An 18081-nucleotide genomic window follows, 5' to 3' on the forward strand; every position below is an offset into this window, starting at 1 on the left:
AAGTAGGGCCACTGATGTGTTATTGGTACCCAGGCAAGGCCTCCTCATTCAGGCATTGTAGGGAGGGAAGGTGTCTCCAGCCTAATGACTAGATGCGAAAGAAAAATAGAATAAGTGTAGCTTAAAAGAAAGAACGGGCCGGGCGCGGTGGCTCACGCCTGTAATCCCAGCACTTTGGGAGGCCGAGGCGGGTGGATCATGAGGTCAGGAGATCGAGACCATCCTGGCTAACAAGGTGAAACCCCGTCTCTACTAAAAAATACAAAAAATTAGCCGGGCGCGGTGGCGGGCGCCTGTAGTCCCAGCTACTCGGGAGGCTGAGGCAGGAGAATGGCGTGAACCCGGGAAGCGGAGCTTGCAGTGAGCCGAGATTGCGCCACTGCAGTCCGCAGTCCGACCTGGGCGACAGAGCGAGACTCCGTCTCAAAAAAAAAAAAAAAAAAAAAAAAAAGAAAGAACGAAGTAAAAAGCAGACCAAGGAGGAAATATTTAGGACATAAAAGAAATCTTTTAAAAACTGATTGTTATCTTTTAGAAAAAGTTAACAAAGTATCATGTCTGTATTATGAAAAACAATCAGAATAAGAAAGCTTTTGCAAATTTAAAATTCAAATGGGGCCGGGCATGGTGGCTCACACCTGTAATCCCAGCACTTTGGGAGGCCAAGGCGGATGGATCACCTGAGGTCAGGAGTTCGAGACCAGCCTGGCCAATATGGCGAAACCCCAACTCTACTAAAAATACAAAAATTAGCTAGGCGTGGTGGCGCATGCCTGTAGTCCCAGATACTCAGGAGACTAAGACAGGAGAATCGCTTGATCCCGGGAGGCGGAGGTTGCAGTGAGCCGAGATCGTGCCACTGATGCCTGAGCAACACAGCGAGAATCTGTCTCAAAAAAAAAAAAGAAGCCGAGTGTGGTGGCTCACACCTGTAATCCCAACGTTTTGGGAGATCGAGGTGGGCAGATCACCTGAGGTCAGGAGTTCAAGACCAGCCTGGCTAACATGGTGAAACCGCGTCTGTACTAAAAATACAAAAATTAGCCGGGCGTGGTAGTGGGCATCTGTAATCCCAGCTATTCAGGAGGCAGGAGAATTGCTTGAACCCAGGAGGCGGAGCTTGCAGTGAGCCAAGATCACACCACTGCACTCCAGCCCGGGTGACAGAGCGAGACTCCATCTCAAAAAAAAAAAAAAAGCAATTGGAAAAATAATAAGAGAGTCTGAAAATATTATTGGAGTGTCATAGAATATAGTGAAAACAGGCAGATAATATAACAGGGAAAGAATAGGCACTCCAGAAGAATTAAAAAAAAAAGAAAAAAGGAAGGAGGGAAGAAATTATCGAATAGTAGAAGAAAAATTACCAAAGCTGAGAAAAAAAACAGTGAGTCCTTAGGTTGAAAGAGCCTTCAGAATGCTGAGTGAGATGAGTGAAAAAAGACCTACATGTGGCACATCTTCACAAAATTTTACAACTTCTAGGTTAAAAAATATTCTAAAATATTTCAGAAAGAATAATAGAGTTTGTATACAAGAAGTTAAAAATCACACTGCCATCAGACTTCTCATCAGTATCACTGGGCCAATGACTTAAGTGGTTGGTGGGAAAACTATTTTGACCTGTCAAATTATCAGGAATGTGAATGTAAAATAGAAACATTTTTAGACAAATAAGAACTCAAAGTTTACTTCTCACCTACCGTTTCTAAAAGAATTAGTAGAGGATCAATCAAACAAAACAGGATAGAAAACCAAGAAAGATAACAACATGGGTTGAAGGAAGCAATAGCTTTAACCAGGAGTTCAGTTAAGGATAGCTGCAGAATGATAAGCACACAGGAGGCATGGGATGAAGCATTCTGACTGAAGCAGTAAGTGAAGAGAAGAAAGAAACTGGGTTCAAGCATATCATTGAGAAGCAGAATAAGTTTTCAAGATATGCTGAAACATTTTTGTGTGCTACAGAGAAAGAAAATTCCAAGCATAGAAATGCCAAGAAAAAACAAAACTGAACAAGAAAATAATTCTCCATAAAGGAATTAAATTTGGCGTTAATTTTTTATTATAAAAATATTGAAATATACACAGAAGTGGAGAGAATAGCATAATGAACTGTATATCCCTCACGCAGGTTCAGCAGTGGTCCAGAATATGCCACATTCACTTTATCCTTTTTTATTTCTTTGCTAAAGTATTTAAAAGCAAATTGCAGGCCGGGCGCGATGGCTCATGCGTAATCCCAGCACTTTGGGAGTCCGAGGTGGGCAGATCACCTGAGGCCAGGAGTTTGAGACCAGCCTAGTTAAAATGGCAAAACTTCATCTCTACTAAAAATACAAAAAAAAAATTAGCTGGATGTGGTGGCAGGTGCCTGTAGTCCCAGCTACTTGGGAGGCTGAAGCAGGAGAATCACTTGAACCCAGGAGGCAGAGGCTGCAGTGAGCCGAGATCGTGCCATTGTACTCTAGTCTGGGCAACAAGAGTGAAACTCTGTCTCAAAAAAAAAAAAAAAAAGCAAATTGCAGACAGCAAATACGTTTTACCCCTACTTTCTTTCAGTGTCAATCTGTAAAAAAAGGTGGACATTGACTTTTCTAATCATAATGCTGTTGTAACACCTAACAAAATTAACAATAATTTCTTGGTGAAATCTAAAATTCAGTTCATGATCAGGTTTCTCCAGATGTCTCAGTGTTTTTATAGTTCACTTGTTCAAATTAATTCAAAATTCTTGTATTGAATCTGCTTGTTGTGTTTTTCATCCAGATTGACCCTCCTTTCATTTCTGTCATGCCACTTGACAATGAAGGAACTGTATCAGTTGACCTATAGAATAGCCCACATTCCGGATTTGACTGCTTCCTGTGGTATCCTTTAACTTGTTCCTCTGCCCCTCTGTATTTCTAGTTATTTGAAGTTAACTATAAGAAAATGATTAGATTTAGGTTTAATATTTGTTGGCAAGAACATCTCTCAGGTCATGCCATGTGAAATGTAGCATGGTTTTCACTGTTTTATGAAGTTCAAAGAAAAGTTCACTTTATCTCAAAATCAGAAGTATTGTCCTTTGACAATATGACATTGAACAAGGAAGTCCTACCATACTGACTGTTCTGTCATAAACAATTTTCATAGGATTATGTTAAGGTAACTACTTTTACTGGTTTTCAACTTTTAGAATCAATGTATGAGACAAGGCTGCATTGTGAATTTGCTACAGAATATGGTTATCAAGTTTGTCATATAGAATTTGGAGAAGTTGGCTAGGGAAAGTGGAAAAGACCTTAGTATCTTTAACAGCAAATCAGGGACATCAGGTTTACTAGTTTTAGTGCAGTATATTGAGATTTAATTTATGAATGTTTTTGTCCTAAATTTGTTAAATGCACAAAACTGCCCCCAAATTGTTTTGATATAATGAAATATCTGATAATGAGCTTTCATTTATTTATTTGTTTGTTTTTTAGAGACAGGGTCTCACGAGTTACCCAGGCTGGCCTGGAACTTTTGGGCTCTGTCAGTCTTCCTGCCTCAGCCTCCCAAGTGACTGGGACTACAGATGTGTGTCACCATGCCTGGCTGAAATTTCTTTAAAGTCTTCAGTAGATGTTAAATTTAGCTTTTATAACGTTTGAACTCAGTTGTTTACCTTCAACTCTATTTACTAATTTTTTTGTGTGTTTGTTTTTTGGCTTTTTGTTTGTTTGTTTGTTTGTTTTTGAGATGGAATTTCGCTCTTGTTGCCCAGGCTGGAGTGCAGTGGTGCAATCTTGGCTCACCGCAACCTCCACCTCCCGGGTTCAAGCGATTCTCCTGCCTCAGCCTCCCGAGTAGCTGGGATTACAGGTATGCACCACCATGCCAGGCTAATTTTGTATTTTTAGTAGAGACAGGGTTTCTCCATGTTGGTCAGGCTGGTCTCGAACTCCTGACCTCAGGTGATGTGCCCGCCTCAGCCTCCCAAAGTGCTGAGATTACAGGTGTGAACCACTGCACCCGGCCACTAATTTTTATTTATAAATTTGGCAGAAGACTATATTATGTATAGTTGTATAATATGAGCATTCTAAGTATTATTTGCTTTTTGATACCACTTAAAGATTACGTATAGATATAGTTATTAGAAAGAGTAGTAGACATGAAATCAGGAGGCTACATCATGATCTTGGCTCTGATCCTAGATGACATAATATTGGACAAGTCATTTGACTTATCTGCACCTATTTCTTCTTTTTATGAATAAAGGGATCAGATTTGATCATTTAATCCATGATCCTGTCATACAACCTAAGTTATTCAAGTTCAGCTGTATTGAAAAATGTGATGAAGAGCACACACAACTTTGTTCTCCTCAGCTCTTGCCATGATCCTTAAACTAACAAAATGAGGAAATAGATGGTTTTTTTCTCCTCCCTGAATTTATAAAAACAGGAATTTATAAATTTGGTTTAACTTTTTAAACTTTTAATCTGAGGAAGAAGTGAAACTCCATCTTACACCTAATAGATGCGAAACAAAAATGAAACATAATTTAGCTTTCAAAAGTATAGCCATACCCCACGGAAATATTGCTGATTTGGTTCCAGATCACTGCAGTAAAGCGAAGGTCCCAATAAAGTGAGTCACGCAAATACTTTGGTTTCCCAGTGCATATAAAAGTTATTTTACACTATAGTGTAGTTTATTAAGTGTGCAATTTTATTATGTCTTAAAAAATACGTACCTTAAATACAAAATACTTTATTGTTAAAAAATGCAAAAAATCATCTAAGCCTTCAGGCAGTTGTAATCTTTTTGCTGGTGGAGGCTCTTGCCTAGATCTTGATGGCTGCTAATTGATCAGGCTGGTGGTTGCTGAAGGCTGGAGTATCTGTGACAGTTTCTTTCTTCTTCTTCTTTTTTTTTGAGATGGAGTCTCGCTCTGTCGCCCAGGCTAGAGTGCAGTGGCGCGATCTCGGTTCACTGCAACCTCCGCCCCTCCAGGTTCACGCCATTCTCCTGCCTCAGCCTCCCGAGTAGCTGGGACTACAGATGCCCACCATCATGCCCGGCTAATTTTTTGTATTTTTAGTAGAGACGGGGTTTCACCACGTTAGCCAGGATGGTCTCGATCTCCTGATCTCATGATCCGCCCCCCTCGGCCTCCCAAAGTGCTGGGATTACAGGCGTGAGCCACTGCGCCCAGCCTTCTTTCTTCTTTTTTTAAATAGAGATGGAGTCTCACTATGTTGCCTAGACTGGTCTCAATTTCCTGGCCTCAAGCAACCCTCCAGCCTTAGTCCCCCAAAGTGCTGAGATTACAGGCATGAGCCATCACACTGGCTGGCAGTTTCTTAAAATATGGTAACACTGAAGTTTGCTGCATCAGTTGACTCTTTCTTTCATGAAATAGCTCTCTGTTACATGTCATGCTATTTGATACTATTTTACCCACAGTAGAACTTCTTTCAAAATTAGGCCAGGTGCAGTGGTTCATGTCTATAAACCCAGAGCTTTGGAAATCTGAGACAGAAGGATAGCTTCAGGCCAGGAGTTTGAGACAAGCCTGGACATCATAGTGAGACCCCATCTCTACAAAAAATGGAAAAAATTAGCTGGGCGTGGTGGTGCACACCTCTAGACCTAGCTACTTGGGAGGCTCAGGTGGGAGGATCCACTTGAATCCAAGAGTTCAATGCTGCAGTGAGTTATGATTGTGCCACTACACTCCAGCTTGGGTGATAGAGTAAGACTCTCTCTCAATAAATAAAAATAAAAAATTGGAGTCAATCCTGAAACCCTGCACTGCTTTAACAACTAGGTTTACGTAACATTCTAAATCCTTTGTGGTCATTTCAACAATGTTTATAGCATTTTCAGTAGGAGTAGATTCCATCTCAAGAAACACTTCCTTTGTTCATCCATAAGAAGCAACTCCTCATTTGTTCAAGTTTTATAATGAGATTGCAATAATTCAGTCACATCCTCAGGCTCCGCTTCTAATTCTAGTTGTTTTGCTATTTCCACTACATTTTCAGTAATTTTCTCCACTGAAGTCTTGAACCCCTCAAAGTCATCCATGAATGTTGTACTCAACGTCTCTTCTAAACTCCTGATAATGTTGATAGTTTAACATCCTCCCATGAATCATGAATGCTCCTAATGGCATCTAGAATAGTGAATCCTTTCCAGAAGGCTTTCAATTTAGTTTGCCCAGATCCGTCAGAGGAATCATATCTATGGCAGCTATAACCTTACAAGATATATTTCTTGTCAGAATACAACCACAACAGTTATCAATTGAGCTTGCATATGGAGGCACTTCCTGCTGCCGCAAGACAATTACAATAGTAACATCAAAGATTAGTAATCACAGATCACCATAACAGTTATAATAATAATGAAATGTTTGAAATATTGCAAGAATTACCAAAATGTGACACAGAGACACAAAGTGAGCACATGCTATTGGGAAAATGGCACTGATAGATATATTTCTGAGATAATAAGACTTGCAAGTTGAAATGACTCTCTCAACCTTGGGTTTCAGAACAGCTGCTGTGTTAGCAGGAATGAAAGCAACATTAATCCCCTTGTACGTCTTCATCAGAGCTCTTGAGTAACCAGGTACATTGTCAGTGAGCAGTAATATTTGAAAGGAATCATTTTTTCTGAAAAGTAGGTCTCAACAGTAGACTTAAAATATTTAGTAAACCATGCTATAAACAAATGTGCTGTCATCCAGGCTTTGTTGTTCCATTTCTAGGGTACAGGCAGGGTAGGTTTAGCATAAATCTTATGGATGCCCTAGGGTTTTTGGAATAGTAAATTAGCATTGGCTTCAACCCAAAGTTACTAGCTGCATTAGACCCCAACAACGTAGCCTGTTCTTTGAAGCTTTTGAAACCAGGCATTGACTTCTTTCTAGCTAGGAAAGTCCTAGATAGCATCATCTTACAATAGAAGGTTGTTTCATCTACATTGAAAATCTGTTGTTTGGTGTAGCCACCTTCACCAATGACTTAGCTGGATCTTCTGAATAACCTGCTGCAGTTTATACATCAGCACTTGCTGCTTCTCGTTGCACTTTTATGTTATAGAGATGGCTTCTTTCCTTAAACCTCATGAACCAATCTCTGCCAGCTTCAGACTTTTCTTCTGTAGCTTCCTTACCTCTCTCAGCCTTCACATAATTGAAGAGAGGGCCTTGCTCTGGATTGAACTTTAAGGGAATATTTTGGCTGGTTTGATCTATCCAGACCACTCAAACTTTCTCCATATCAGCAATAAGGCTGTTTCACTTTCTTAGCATCCATGTGTTCAGAGTAACACTTTTCATTTCCTTCAAGAACTTTTCCCTTGCATTCCCAACTAGGCTGTTTGGCACAAGTGGCCTAGCTTTTGGCCTGTTTTAGCTTTCAACATGCCATCTTCACTAAGCTTTCTTCTTCTTTTTCTTTTTTTTGGCTTAAAAAATACTGGGTTATTTGTTTGTTTACTGTGAAAGAGAGCAGACAGACATTTCTAACTTTTTTAATTTAAAGTGAGAGACGTGAACACTTGGAGACCATAGTACGGTTACTAATTGGTCTTATTTCAATATTGCTGTGTCTCAGGGAAAAGGAGGCCAAAAGAGAGGGAGAGATACAGGAGAATGACCAGTTGGTGGAGCAGTCAGAATACAACCACAACAGTTATCAGTTGAGCTTGCATATGGAGGCACTTCCTGCTGCTGCAAGACAATTACAATAGTAACATCAAAGATTAGTAATCACAGATCGCCATAACTGTTATAATAATAATGAAATGTTTGAAATATTGCAAGAATTACCAAAATGTGACACAGAGCCACAAAGTGAGCCCATGCTATTGGGAAAATGGCACTGATAGACTAGCTCAGAGCAGGGTTGCCACAAACCTTCAATTTATAAAACACACAGCATCTATGAAGTCCAGTAAAATACAGCGCAATAAAATAAGGTATGCTTATATAATGCTCACAAAAAGAAACACAGAGGGTTCTGTTCCAGTAACTATTGCTACTAAACAAGCTACAACAAAACATAGTGGCTTAAAAGAACAAGAATCATTTCCTTAGCTCCCAAGTCTGCCTTTGGGGCTGAGTTTTGTGGGGATACCTCCTCTCTGATCCACTTGGTGTCAGCTGGGACAGCTTGAAGGCTGGGGCTGATTAAACACTGTGTCACCTTGCCCCTTTATAGCAAAACTCACTGAAAAAGTTTTCTATACTCTGTCTCTGATTCTCTCCTGCCATTTTTCTCCTTTTAAAATTATTTTTATTTCCATCTGTTTATTTTTTTTAGAGACTGGGTCTTACTCTGTCACCCAGGCTGGAGTGCAGTGGCACAGTCATAGTTCACTGCAACCTTGAATTCCAGGGCTCAAGTGATCCTCCCACTTCAGCCTCCTGAGTAGCTGGGACTACAAGCACGCATCATCATGCTCAGCTAATTTTTTTGTTTGTTTTGATAAAGACAGAGTCTCACTATATTGTCCTGGCTGGTCTTGAACTCCTAGCCTGAAGCAGTCCTCTCACCTCTGCGTCTCAAAGTGCTGGGATTAAAGGCATGAGCTATGATGTCTGACCTAAAATTATTTTTTAATAATTCATTTTGAAATAATCTCAAATATAGAGAAATTTGCCAGAAGGATAAAAAGATTTATATTTTCCCTCACCCAGATTCCCCAGTTATTAATACAGCCACTATGGAAAACAGTATGGAGCATCCTCAAAAAACCACAAATAGAACTACCATATCCAGCAATCCCATTACTATACATTTATGCTAAGGAAAGGAAATCAGTATATCGAAGAGACATCTGCACCTCTGTGTTTATTGCAGCAGTATTCACAATTGCCAAAATGTGGAGTCAACCTAGATGTCCAACAACAGATGAATGCATAAAGAAAATGTGGTATTTATACTCAATGGAATGCTATTCATCCACAAAAAAGCATGAAATTCTGTCATTTATGCCAACATAGATGGAACTGGAGGACATTATGTTAAGTGAAATAAGCCAGGAACAGAAAGTTAAACACCACATGCTCTCGTTCTCACTCATATGTGGAAGTTAGAAAAAAGTTCATTCCATGCAAGTAAAAAGTAGAACGGAGGATGGTAGAGGCTGAGAAGGATAGGAGGGTAGAGGGAACAGGAGGATAGAGAGATATTTGTTAAAGGATATAAGATTACAGCTAGATAGGAGGAATGAGTTCTCTAGTGTTCTCTAGTTCTATAGGATGACTATAGTTAACAATAATGTATTATACATTTCAAATAGCTAGAAGAAGGATATTGAATGTTCCAACACAAAAATGTTTGAGATGATGGATGTGTTAATTACCCAGATCTGATCATTATTCATGATTGTATTGAATCATCACTGTAACTCATAAGTATAATTATTATGTCAATTTACAAAAACATTTTATCATTGCATTTGCTTCATTGCTCAATACCCTTCCTCTCCCTACAGACACACACACATGCATGCATGCACACACACGCACGCACACACATGATCATTCATGTTTTTTTGAATCTTTGCAAAGCAAGCTTTACAAACAATGTCCCATTACCACTAAACACTCCAGTCTATATTTTCAAACAACAAAGATATTCTCCTAAAAATTGGCATACAGCCCTCCAAATCAGGAAGCCAATATCAATATAACATTGCTACCCAATCCACAAACCCCATTCAGTGTCACCAGCTGTCCCAGTGGTACCTCTTCTTTCTTTCTGGCCCAGTGTCCTATCCACGAACATGTGATGCGTTTAGTAGTTATGTTTCTTCAGACTCATTCAATCTGAAGCAGTCCTTTAGTCTTTCTCTTGACAGTGTTAAAGAGTACAGACCTTGATTATACAGGATTTCCCTCAGCCTTGATGTGCCTGATGTTTACTTGTGACCAGACTTATGTCACACATTCTTGGCAACATCACCACCTCCCATCACTGGTGATGTTAACTTTGATCTTCTGATCATATTGGTGCCCGCCAGACTTCTCCACATTAAAGTCATTATTAATGACCTTTTGTAAGTGATTAGTATTTTGTGGAGAACTTTCCAAGAATACATCAGTATATTCTTATCTAACAGTCACTCATCAGACTTAATATCCATTGACCATTCCCATCCGAATCAAACCCCTGTGATAGTGCCAAATGGTGATTTTCTGTTTCCTTTCTTCTACATTTATCAGTTGGTAAGGAATATCATTCCCTTCTCTTGTATTTATTTATATATAAGAACTTATTGATTCTTGTTTTGTTTACAAGATGGTAATCCATGTTTATTGATTGATTGATTGATTGACATGGGGTTGCCCAGGCTAGAGTCCAATGGTACAGTGATAGCTTACTGCTGCCTTATCTCCTGGGCTCAAGAAATCCTCCCGCCTCAGCCTCCCAAGTAGCTGGGGCTACAGGCATGCACCACCACACCCAGCTAATATTTTTTATTTTTTGTAGAGATGATGTTTTGCTATGTTGCCTAAGCTGGTATCAAACTCCTGGGCTGAAGTGATCCTCCCACCTTGGCCTCCCAAAGTGCTGGGATTATAGGCGTGAGCCACTGCGCTCAGCTTATTATTATTTTAATGCTCAAATTGTCTATTAGCCAGTAGGAGCCCCTTCAGTTGTCCTCCTGTGTCTCTTCAGCATGTCCCATCATTCATGGTGCACTTCCTTACTTTCTGGCACAAATGTGTTCCTGGCTCACTTTGTACTTTCCTGACCCAGCCTTCAAATCAGTCTTTCCTCCAAGGAGCTCTGGTTCCTATTATGTATTTAAAAAACAAGATCTGAGCGTTCAGTATGCTTGAAGCTACTGGGGTAGAAGAATATCATCATTTAGGCTCACCCAGCAAAAAAAAAAAAAAAAAAAAAAGGTAGGAAAATATCCATGTGTAATCCTAGAAGTTACATAATTTTAATGTGTTATAGCTCTGATTGCAAGGCAGTAACTAACAAAATCTTATGATATTACCCCCAACCCAGGTATGTGTAATCCTCGAAATTATAGTGACACACCTCCAACTTCAAAGAGCACAGTGGAGGAGCTGCATGAACCGATCCCTTCTCTCTTCCGGGCACTCACAGAAGGAGATACTCAGTTGAATTGGAACATCGTTTCTTTCCCTGTTGCAGAAGAACTTTCACATCATGAGAATCTGGTTTCATTTTTAGAAACTGTGAACCAGCCACACCACCAGAATGTGTCTGTCCCCAGCAATAATGTTCACGCGCCTTATTCCAGTGACAAAGGTAACTGCCAACAGTTGACTTTTTCCATTCCGCCCCCTCATGTGGTCTGTCCATGTAATCTATAAAACCTATATAAGACCATCTTTTGGAGCAGCCTTTTGGTTTTGAATTTGTATCATCTCACATAAATTCTAGACTCAATAACCCTGATCCCATCATATCTAGAGGCACATGCCAGAAGGATAAGAGAAAAAAAATATCTCCAATCCTTGAGTAGATAAAAAGGCATGTCGGCTGGGCGTGGTGGCTCATGCCTGTAATCCCAGCACTTTGGGAGGCCGAGGCAGGTGGATCACGAGGTCAAGAGTTCGAGACCAGCCTGACCAACATGGTGAAACCCCATCTCTACTAAGAATACAAAAATTAGCCGGGTGTGGTGGCGGGCGCCTGTAGTCCAGCTACGAGGGAGGCTGAGGCAGGAGAATTGCTTGAACCTGAGAGTCGGAGGTTGCTGTGAACCGAGATCACACCACTGCACTCCAGCCTGGGTGGCAGAGCAAGACTCCGTCTCACCAAAAAAAAAAAAGATAAAGAGGCATGTCAGCATATTGTCAGAATTCCTCCATACTCCTGGCAGCAGAGGCTGTACTGTATTGGAAAATAGATAATTGTTCCTAATTCTGGTATTTATTTGTGCTAGGCTTTATTCTGTTCATAAGATAGCAACAATGCTGCTTCTCTAATAAAATATTGCTCATTGTCAGGTGACATTCAGAGTATCCCATGAAGTCAGATTTTTATAATAGCACCCGTACCAAAATGATGCCAAAGTCATTAGCTAAATTTCTTTATAAGCAAGTTGGTATTCCAGACATCTCATTTCCAGGCATAAACTAACCCCAGCCAGTTCTCTGCAAATGGGTGCTGTTGGTCAGAAAAGGAATTAAGTGAGAAAATAACTTATACAAATTACAGAAGCATATTTAAGAGCATTTATTAGTGAAGATAGGTCATATCATAATTTTGGAATGTAAAGAGCATGTGACTTTTATAAAATCTTTGATATTTTTTGACAAAAGGCACCATATAATTTTACTGTGGAAGCATAAAGCACTTATGAAAATTGCAATTATTTCTTAAAACATGAGGTGAATTATGTATAAATAGTATAATTTGTACTCTTACTTGACTATTAGTTGTGCCCTCCATTACATTCCTACCTATATAAAACAGTGCGGGCTGGGTGCGGTGGCTCACGCCTGTAATCCCAGCACTTTGAGAGGCTGAGGCGGGCACATCACCTGAGGTCGGGAGTTTGAGACCAGCCTGACCAACATGAGAGACCTCGTCTCTACTAGAAATACAAAATTAGCTGGGCGTGGTAGCACATGCCTGTAATCCCAGCTACTTGGGAGGCTGAAGCAGGAGAACTGCTTGAGCCTGGGAGGTGGAGGTTGCGGTGAGCCGAGATCGCGCCATTGCACTCCAGCCTGGGCAACTAGAGCAAAACTCCATCTCAAAAAAAAAAAAAAAAAAAAAAACCAAGAAAACAAAAAACAGTGTGAGCTTCGAACATTAATAGTAAAAGGCAAAACAGCTTCTGTTAAATGACAGTGTAAGATTTCTTATTCCCTTTTAGGTTAAAGTACTTTGTAAAACAAATGCTAGATTTTGGAAAACATTAGAAACATATGGAATGCAATAATAATATGTTTTGTTATCATTTTCTCCATTATTAAAATGTAAGTAATCAACATAACAGATATTAAATAATAATTCATAAATTTTGCTCAAAGATTATTTAAATTTATGAAGCAATTAGCAAGAAGCTAATTCCTGGAAACTCCAGCTGTCTTCAAGACACAACTAAAGTTTTTTCTCTGTGACATCTTTCCTGGGCACCTATTCCCCCAGATAGAGTCAGTCTCTTTCTACTGCTCCTCCTGCATTTGCAGGTTTTTGTTTGTTTGTTTGTTTGTTTGTTTTTTGAAATGGAGTTTCACTCTTGTTGCCCAGGCTGGAGTGCAATGGCGCAATCTCGGCTCACTGCAACCTCTGCCTCCCAGGTTCAAGTGATTCTCCTGCCTCAGCCTCCCGAGTAGCTGGGGTTACAGGTACCCACCACCATGCCCGGTTAATTTTTTTAATTTTTAGTAGAGACAGGGTTTCGCCATGTTAGCCAGGCTGGTTGCAAACTCCTGGCCTCAGGTGATCCACCTGCCTCGGCCTCCCAAAGTGTTGGGATTACAGGCTTGAGCTACCATGCCTGGCCTGCATTTGCAGTTCTGTTTGTTGTCTGTTTTTAACTTATGGATCTATCATTTTCTACTTAGTTCTGTGGATTCTCTGATTCCTCTACTAAAAATATAAAAATTAGCCAGCTGTGGTGGTGCATGCTTGTAATCCCAGCTACTCGGGAGACTGAGGCAGAGAATCACTTGAACCTGGGAGGCGGAGGCTGCAGTGAGCCAAGATCACACCACTGCACTCCAGCCTGGGTGGCAGAGTGAGACTCCATCTCAAAAAAAAAAAGGAAATGCCCAGTTTAAAAGCACAGCTGTATAACATAGCAAATGTTTTTAAGCCCAATAATCCAACTTTTCGATCAAAGCCTGAAATCTAATAAAAGAAGCTAAGGAAGCCCTTTGCCTTCTTCAGATGGAGTGGGAGAATCTGACTTCCTTCTCAACATAATTAATAAATGAAGATCTTTTTTCCTGTACCTCATCTTTGTCATGTACAGACCAGTAATAAGAGAACCAAGATAAATAACTGTTAATATTCAACTAGGTAATAAAGCATTTTATTTTTTTGTTTTTCTTCTTTCTTGCCCTGAAATCTTAAATTTTTGTTTTTCAGAACACATGTGTACTGTGGTTTATTTTGATGACTGCATGTCCATACATCAGTGTAAAATATCCTGTGAGTCCATGGGAGCATCCAAATATCGCTGGTTTCATAATGCCTGCTGCGAGTGCATTGGTCCAGAATGTATTGACTATGGTAGTAAAACTGTCAAATGTATGAACTGCATGTTTTAAAGAAGACAAATGCAAACCAAAGCAACTTAGTAAAATAATAGGTATAAAAAGTTATTCTGTAAGTCTGTTGGTTGTATCTTGTATCAGAATCCCAGTAAGTTAAGTTGTAAAGACTTTGGAATAAGTTTCTTTTAAAAATATGACATAGCCAGTGATGTGTTTAATTATATAACTGTTCTTACTGATTTTATTGCCCCCTAGCAATAAGCCCTTTCCTTTGAATACATGTACAACTTTGGTCATATGAGAAGCAGGTGCGCAGAGAATTCCTTGAAAGATCTGAGGTTTTTAACATGAAGTCTGACGTGGTTTTCCTCTAGCATTCCAAAAGGTTTTTGCTTTGAAAGTGTTAGCAGAAGCATGTTGATGTGAATTATGATTTCTTCATGTGCTACTGTTAGCACACTGAGTTTTTATAGTTGCACATCATTCCTCATTGTGCCTTGTTTTATCCATTTTATAAATAGAGTAGATATTTGATATACCACTCTGATAACTCATATAAAAATATCATCATAAAAAGCTTAATTTCATCCCTTTTATGTTGGTTTTAAAAGGTAAATGCTTACCATATTTTATAATTGAGAACTCTTACATAGTAGAATCCATTCTATAATACATGTGTTGACAAAGCTTTAGAGAAAGTTTCCTATTCTCTTCCATTTCCCCTGCCCAAAGTGCTGACATAGGCAGTGATGAAGAATCTTTACCAAGATTTTCAGGGTGTACCTATGAAATTGCTTTAAATGCACTGCTGGTGTAAATAATTAGCAAGCAAAGCGTTTCTGTGACTTCAGGTACCAGCTTAAAGAGCACTAGGGATGGGGAACGAATGCCAAATCAGACTCCACCTAGAGCACCAGGAAACAGCTTGTACCCTGGTAGGGAAATGGTGTTGCTGAAAGGGGAGGCTGAGCCAGTGCGAGACTGAACTTGTGCAGCCTTAGCCAAGACAAAGCAGTGTTTTTCAGCAGACGGCTGATGGGACAGGAATTGAAGAAGAGAATTGACTCGTATGAACAGGACAGGGTGAAAATGCTGGGAATTATTATGGGAAACAAAACTATCTATGTTCATATTTTGTAATATTTCATTTGTTAAGTTTATATCTGGATATAATGTTCTTTTTAAACAAGTATAATCATATCGTCGGAGGTTAAGATTATGAAATTTTAGAATCTCTATTCAAGATGATGTTCACTCCAAATACACTACAGAATTTAGTCAACATTTTATATAATGTTTCAATAAATGTTTCTTTCAATAAAGATACTATGTGCCCTTCATAGTAATAAAATCTCAATCTTAAAGCATGAATCTAAAACATAAATATTTATATTACAGACTCAATTTTACAAAATTACTAATTGCTCTAGTGCATATTTGAACTACAAGCAACTTTTTAGGAATACCTCTTTATACGTCTACATATTTTAGTATATAAAAATAGATAATGCTCTTGGACACATTTTGTATTATTCATGATCTGAATAGTAGTTAGTTAAAAGATCATTTGTAATATTATGATCAACTGTTATAAATTAAGGTCTTAATACCTTTTCTGCTCTTTCAAATAACTCTAATGAATATTCAAGATATTTTAGCCTTTTAAAAAGTTGAGATTTAGCTCATGGATATATTTTTTGGTAGGGAAACATTAGGGTCTCCTTTTCTTCCTTTTACCTAGAATGCCTCATTTAAAAGTGCCTTGAAAACATTTAGCTCCCCTTCTTCATGAGCATCTGTAGAGCTGAAAGTATTCTGGAACTTTAGACAGAAAGCTGAAAGGAATCTGCAGTCTCCTGCTGCAGTTCAACTCTGCTGTTTTTCAGTCATTTCCTACTGTGAGTGGAGTGATGTTTGTGTGTGTGTTGGCAACATGCCTAATGTTTTCTTAATGATGACAACAAATATTTTAAAACTGCATTTATCATTTTTTAGGTCTTCATTAAATTTTAAAATGTAATATCTGTTTCCCACCCCCTACATTAGGAGGATAATTTCTTAAACCACATTGTTTTAATTGATTTTTCTTATCTTGATTTCTTTCATTAGAAACTATCCCTAAATGTAAAGATCTTTTGCCTTCAAATTTGGCTTATTTTTTCTGATTTATGAGGGTTTGAAAGAAAGAATTCACCTAAAAGATTCCATTTCCAGTTTTATAATGTATTTCAGGTTCTGAATAACAATATTTTTCCAAATTGAAAGTAAATATTCCAGAAGTTGATAGCCTGGTTAAAAGTTAGATCCTCTATTACCATTCTAAGCACATTCACTTCTATATTGAAGTTTTGGTAAAAATTCTTTTTTCTTTTTTAATAAAAAATTAGGTTATTACTTTTTTTATAACCAGATTTTTAAAGCACTAGGTTTTAAATCAGTGGGTATCATAAAAGCCATATATAAAAGATCCTTTCTTATAGTAAGACTTGTGCTTGTTAGCAGGTTTTTCTGTTAGTTTTTCCCCCATAACATTTAATTATTACTAAAATTGTATTTACAATAGTGGTGCCAAATCAAATGGTAATTTAAATAAAATCTATTCTGTGTTTATGTAGGGTGGTATAAAAAAGAGGTCTTCATTTAGACATGTGATTTCTAAAATTCCAGAAAGCAAAATTGATAAGATGTTAGAAATTTGGACCATTATTTATAATCAGGGTAGCATTAAAATGGAGAAAAGAAAGTTTTCTGAAAAAATGCAGTAAATATAAGCCACATTTCTAAAGTTTATTTTTATGAAAGCTTCTTTTAAGATTTTGAAATCTATTCTGCATTCCCAAGAGTTTATGTTTATTGTATTTTATATGATCTACAACATATAAAATTGTGTATTTTTCTTTGGTTGTCCCTATTAACAAAAAAGTATTTTAATAAAAAATTGAAATGAGTGAGTCATATTTTTTGTTAACTTCAGCATAGACATAAATTTGACATTCTGTCTAAAGAAGATAGTGTTTAAGTGATCAGCGGGCCGGGTGCGGTGTCACTTTGGGAGGCTGAGGTGGGCAAATCACTTGATCTCAGGAGTTCAAGACCAGCCTGGGCAACATGGTGAAACCTCGTCTTTACAAAAATAAAAAAATTATCCGGGCATGTTGATGAGAGGTGAAGCCACCTGGACTTCTTGTTTCGAGTGGGGACTTGGAGAACTTTTCTGTCTTACAAGAGGATTGTAAAATGCACCAATCAGTGCTCTGAAGCTAGCAAGAGCATTGTAAAATGCACCAATCAGTGCTCTGTAAAACACACCAATCAGCGCTCTGTAGCTAGCAAGAGGGTTGTAAAATGCACCAATCAGTGCTCTGTAAAACACACCAATCAGCAGGATCCTAAAAGTAGCCAATCGCAGAGAGGATTGAAAAAAGGGCACTCTGATAGGACAGAAACAGAACATGGTGGGGAGGGGCCAATAAGGGAATAAAAGCTAGCCACCCCAGCCAACAGCGGCAACCAGCTCGGGTCCCCTTCCACCCTGTGGAAGCTTTGTCCTTTTGCTCTTCACCATAAACCCTGCTATTGCTCTCTCTTTGGGTCCGTGCCATCTTTAAGAGTTGTAACACTCACTGAGAAGGTCTGCGGCTCCATTCTTGAAGTCAGCAAGACCACGAACCCACCAGCAGGAGCCAACTCCAGACACAGTAATTATGTGCCTGTAGTCCCACCTACTCTAGAGGCTGAGGTGGGAGGATCACTTGAGCCCAGGGAGGCGGAAGCTGCAGTGAGCCCTGATTGTGCCACTGCACCTCTGCCTGGGTGACAGAGCAAGACCCTGTCTTAAAAAACAAACAAACAAAAAAAACAATCAGCAAAGAATGTTC

General features: G+C 38.9%; 1 protein-coding gene across 2 annotated transcripts in view; it reads left to right on the forward strand.

Moving 5' to 3' along the window:
• The window catches only part of TWSG1 (twisted gastrulation BMP signaling modulator 1), a 67648-nt gene extending 50498 nt beyond the window's left edge, over positions 1–17150 (forward strand). For both annotated transcript variants that reach the window (NM_020648.6, XM_047437675.1), the window contains 2 exons: positions 11010–11276; positions 14076–17150. In NM_020648.6, coding sequence (NP_065699.1) covers positions 11010–11276; positions 14076–14257 — 449 coding nt within the window. In that variant the 3' untranslated portion in view covers positions 14258–17150. The remainder of the gene's footprint in view (positions 1–11009; positions 11277–14075) is intronic.
• Positions 17151–18081: the final 931 nt, after the last annotated feature.

The sequence above is a fragment of the Homo sapiens genome, chromosome 18, assembly GCF_000001405.40.
Source record: "Homo sapiens chromosome 18, GRCh38.p14 Primary Assembly".
NCBI classification, from domain to species: Eukaryota; Metazoa; Chordata; class Mammalia; order Primates; family Hominidae; genus Homo; species Homo sapiens.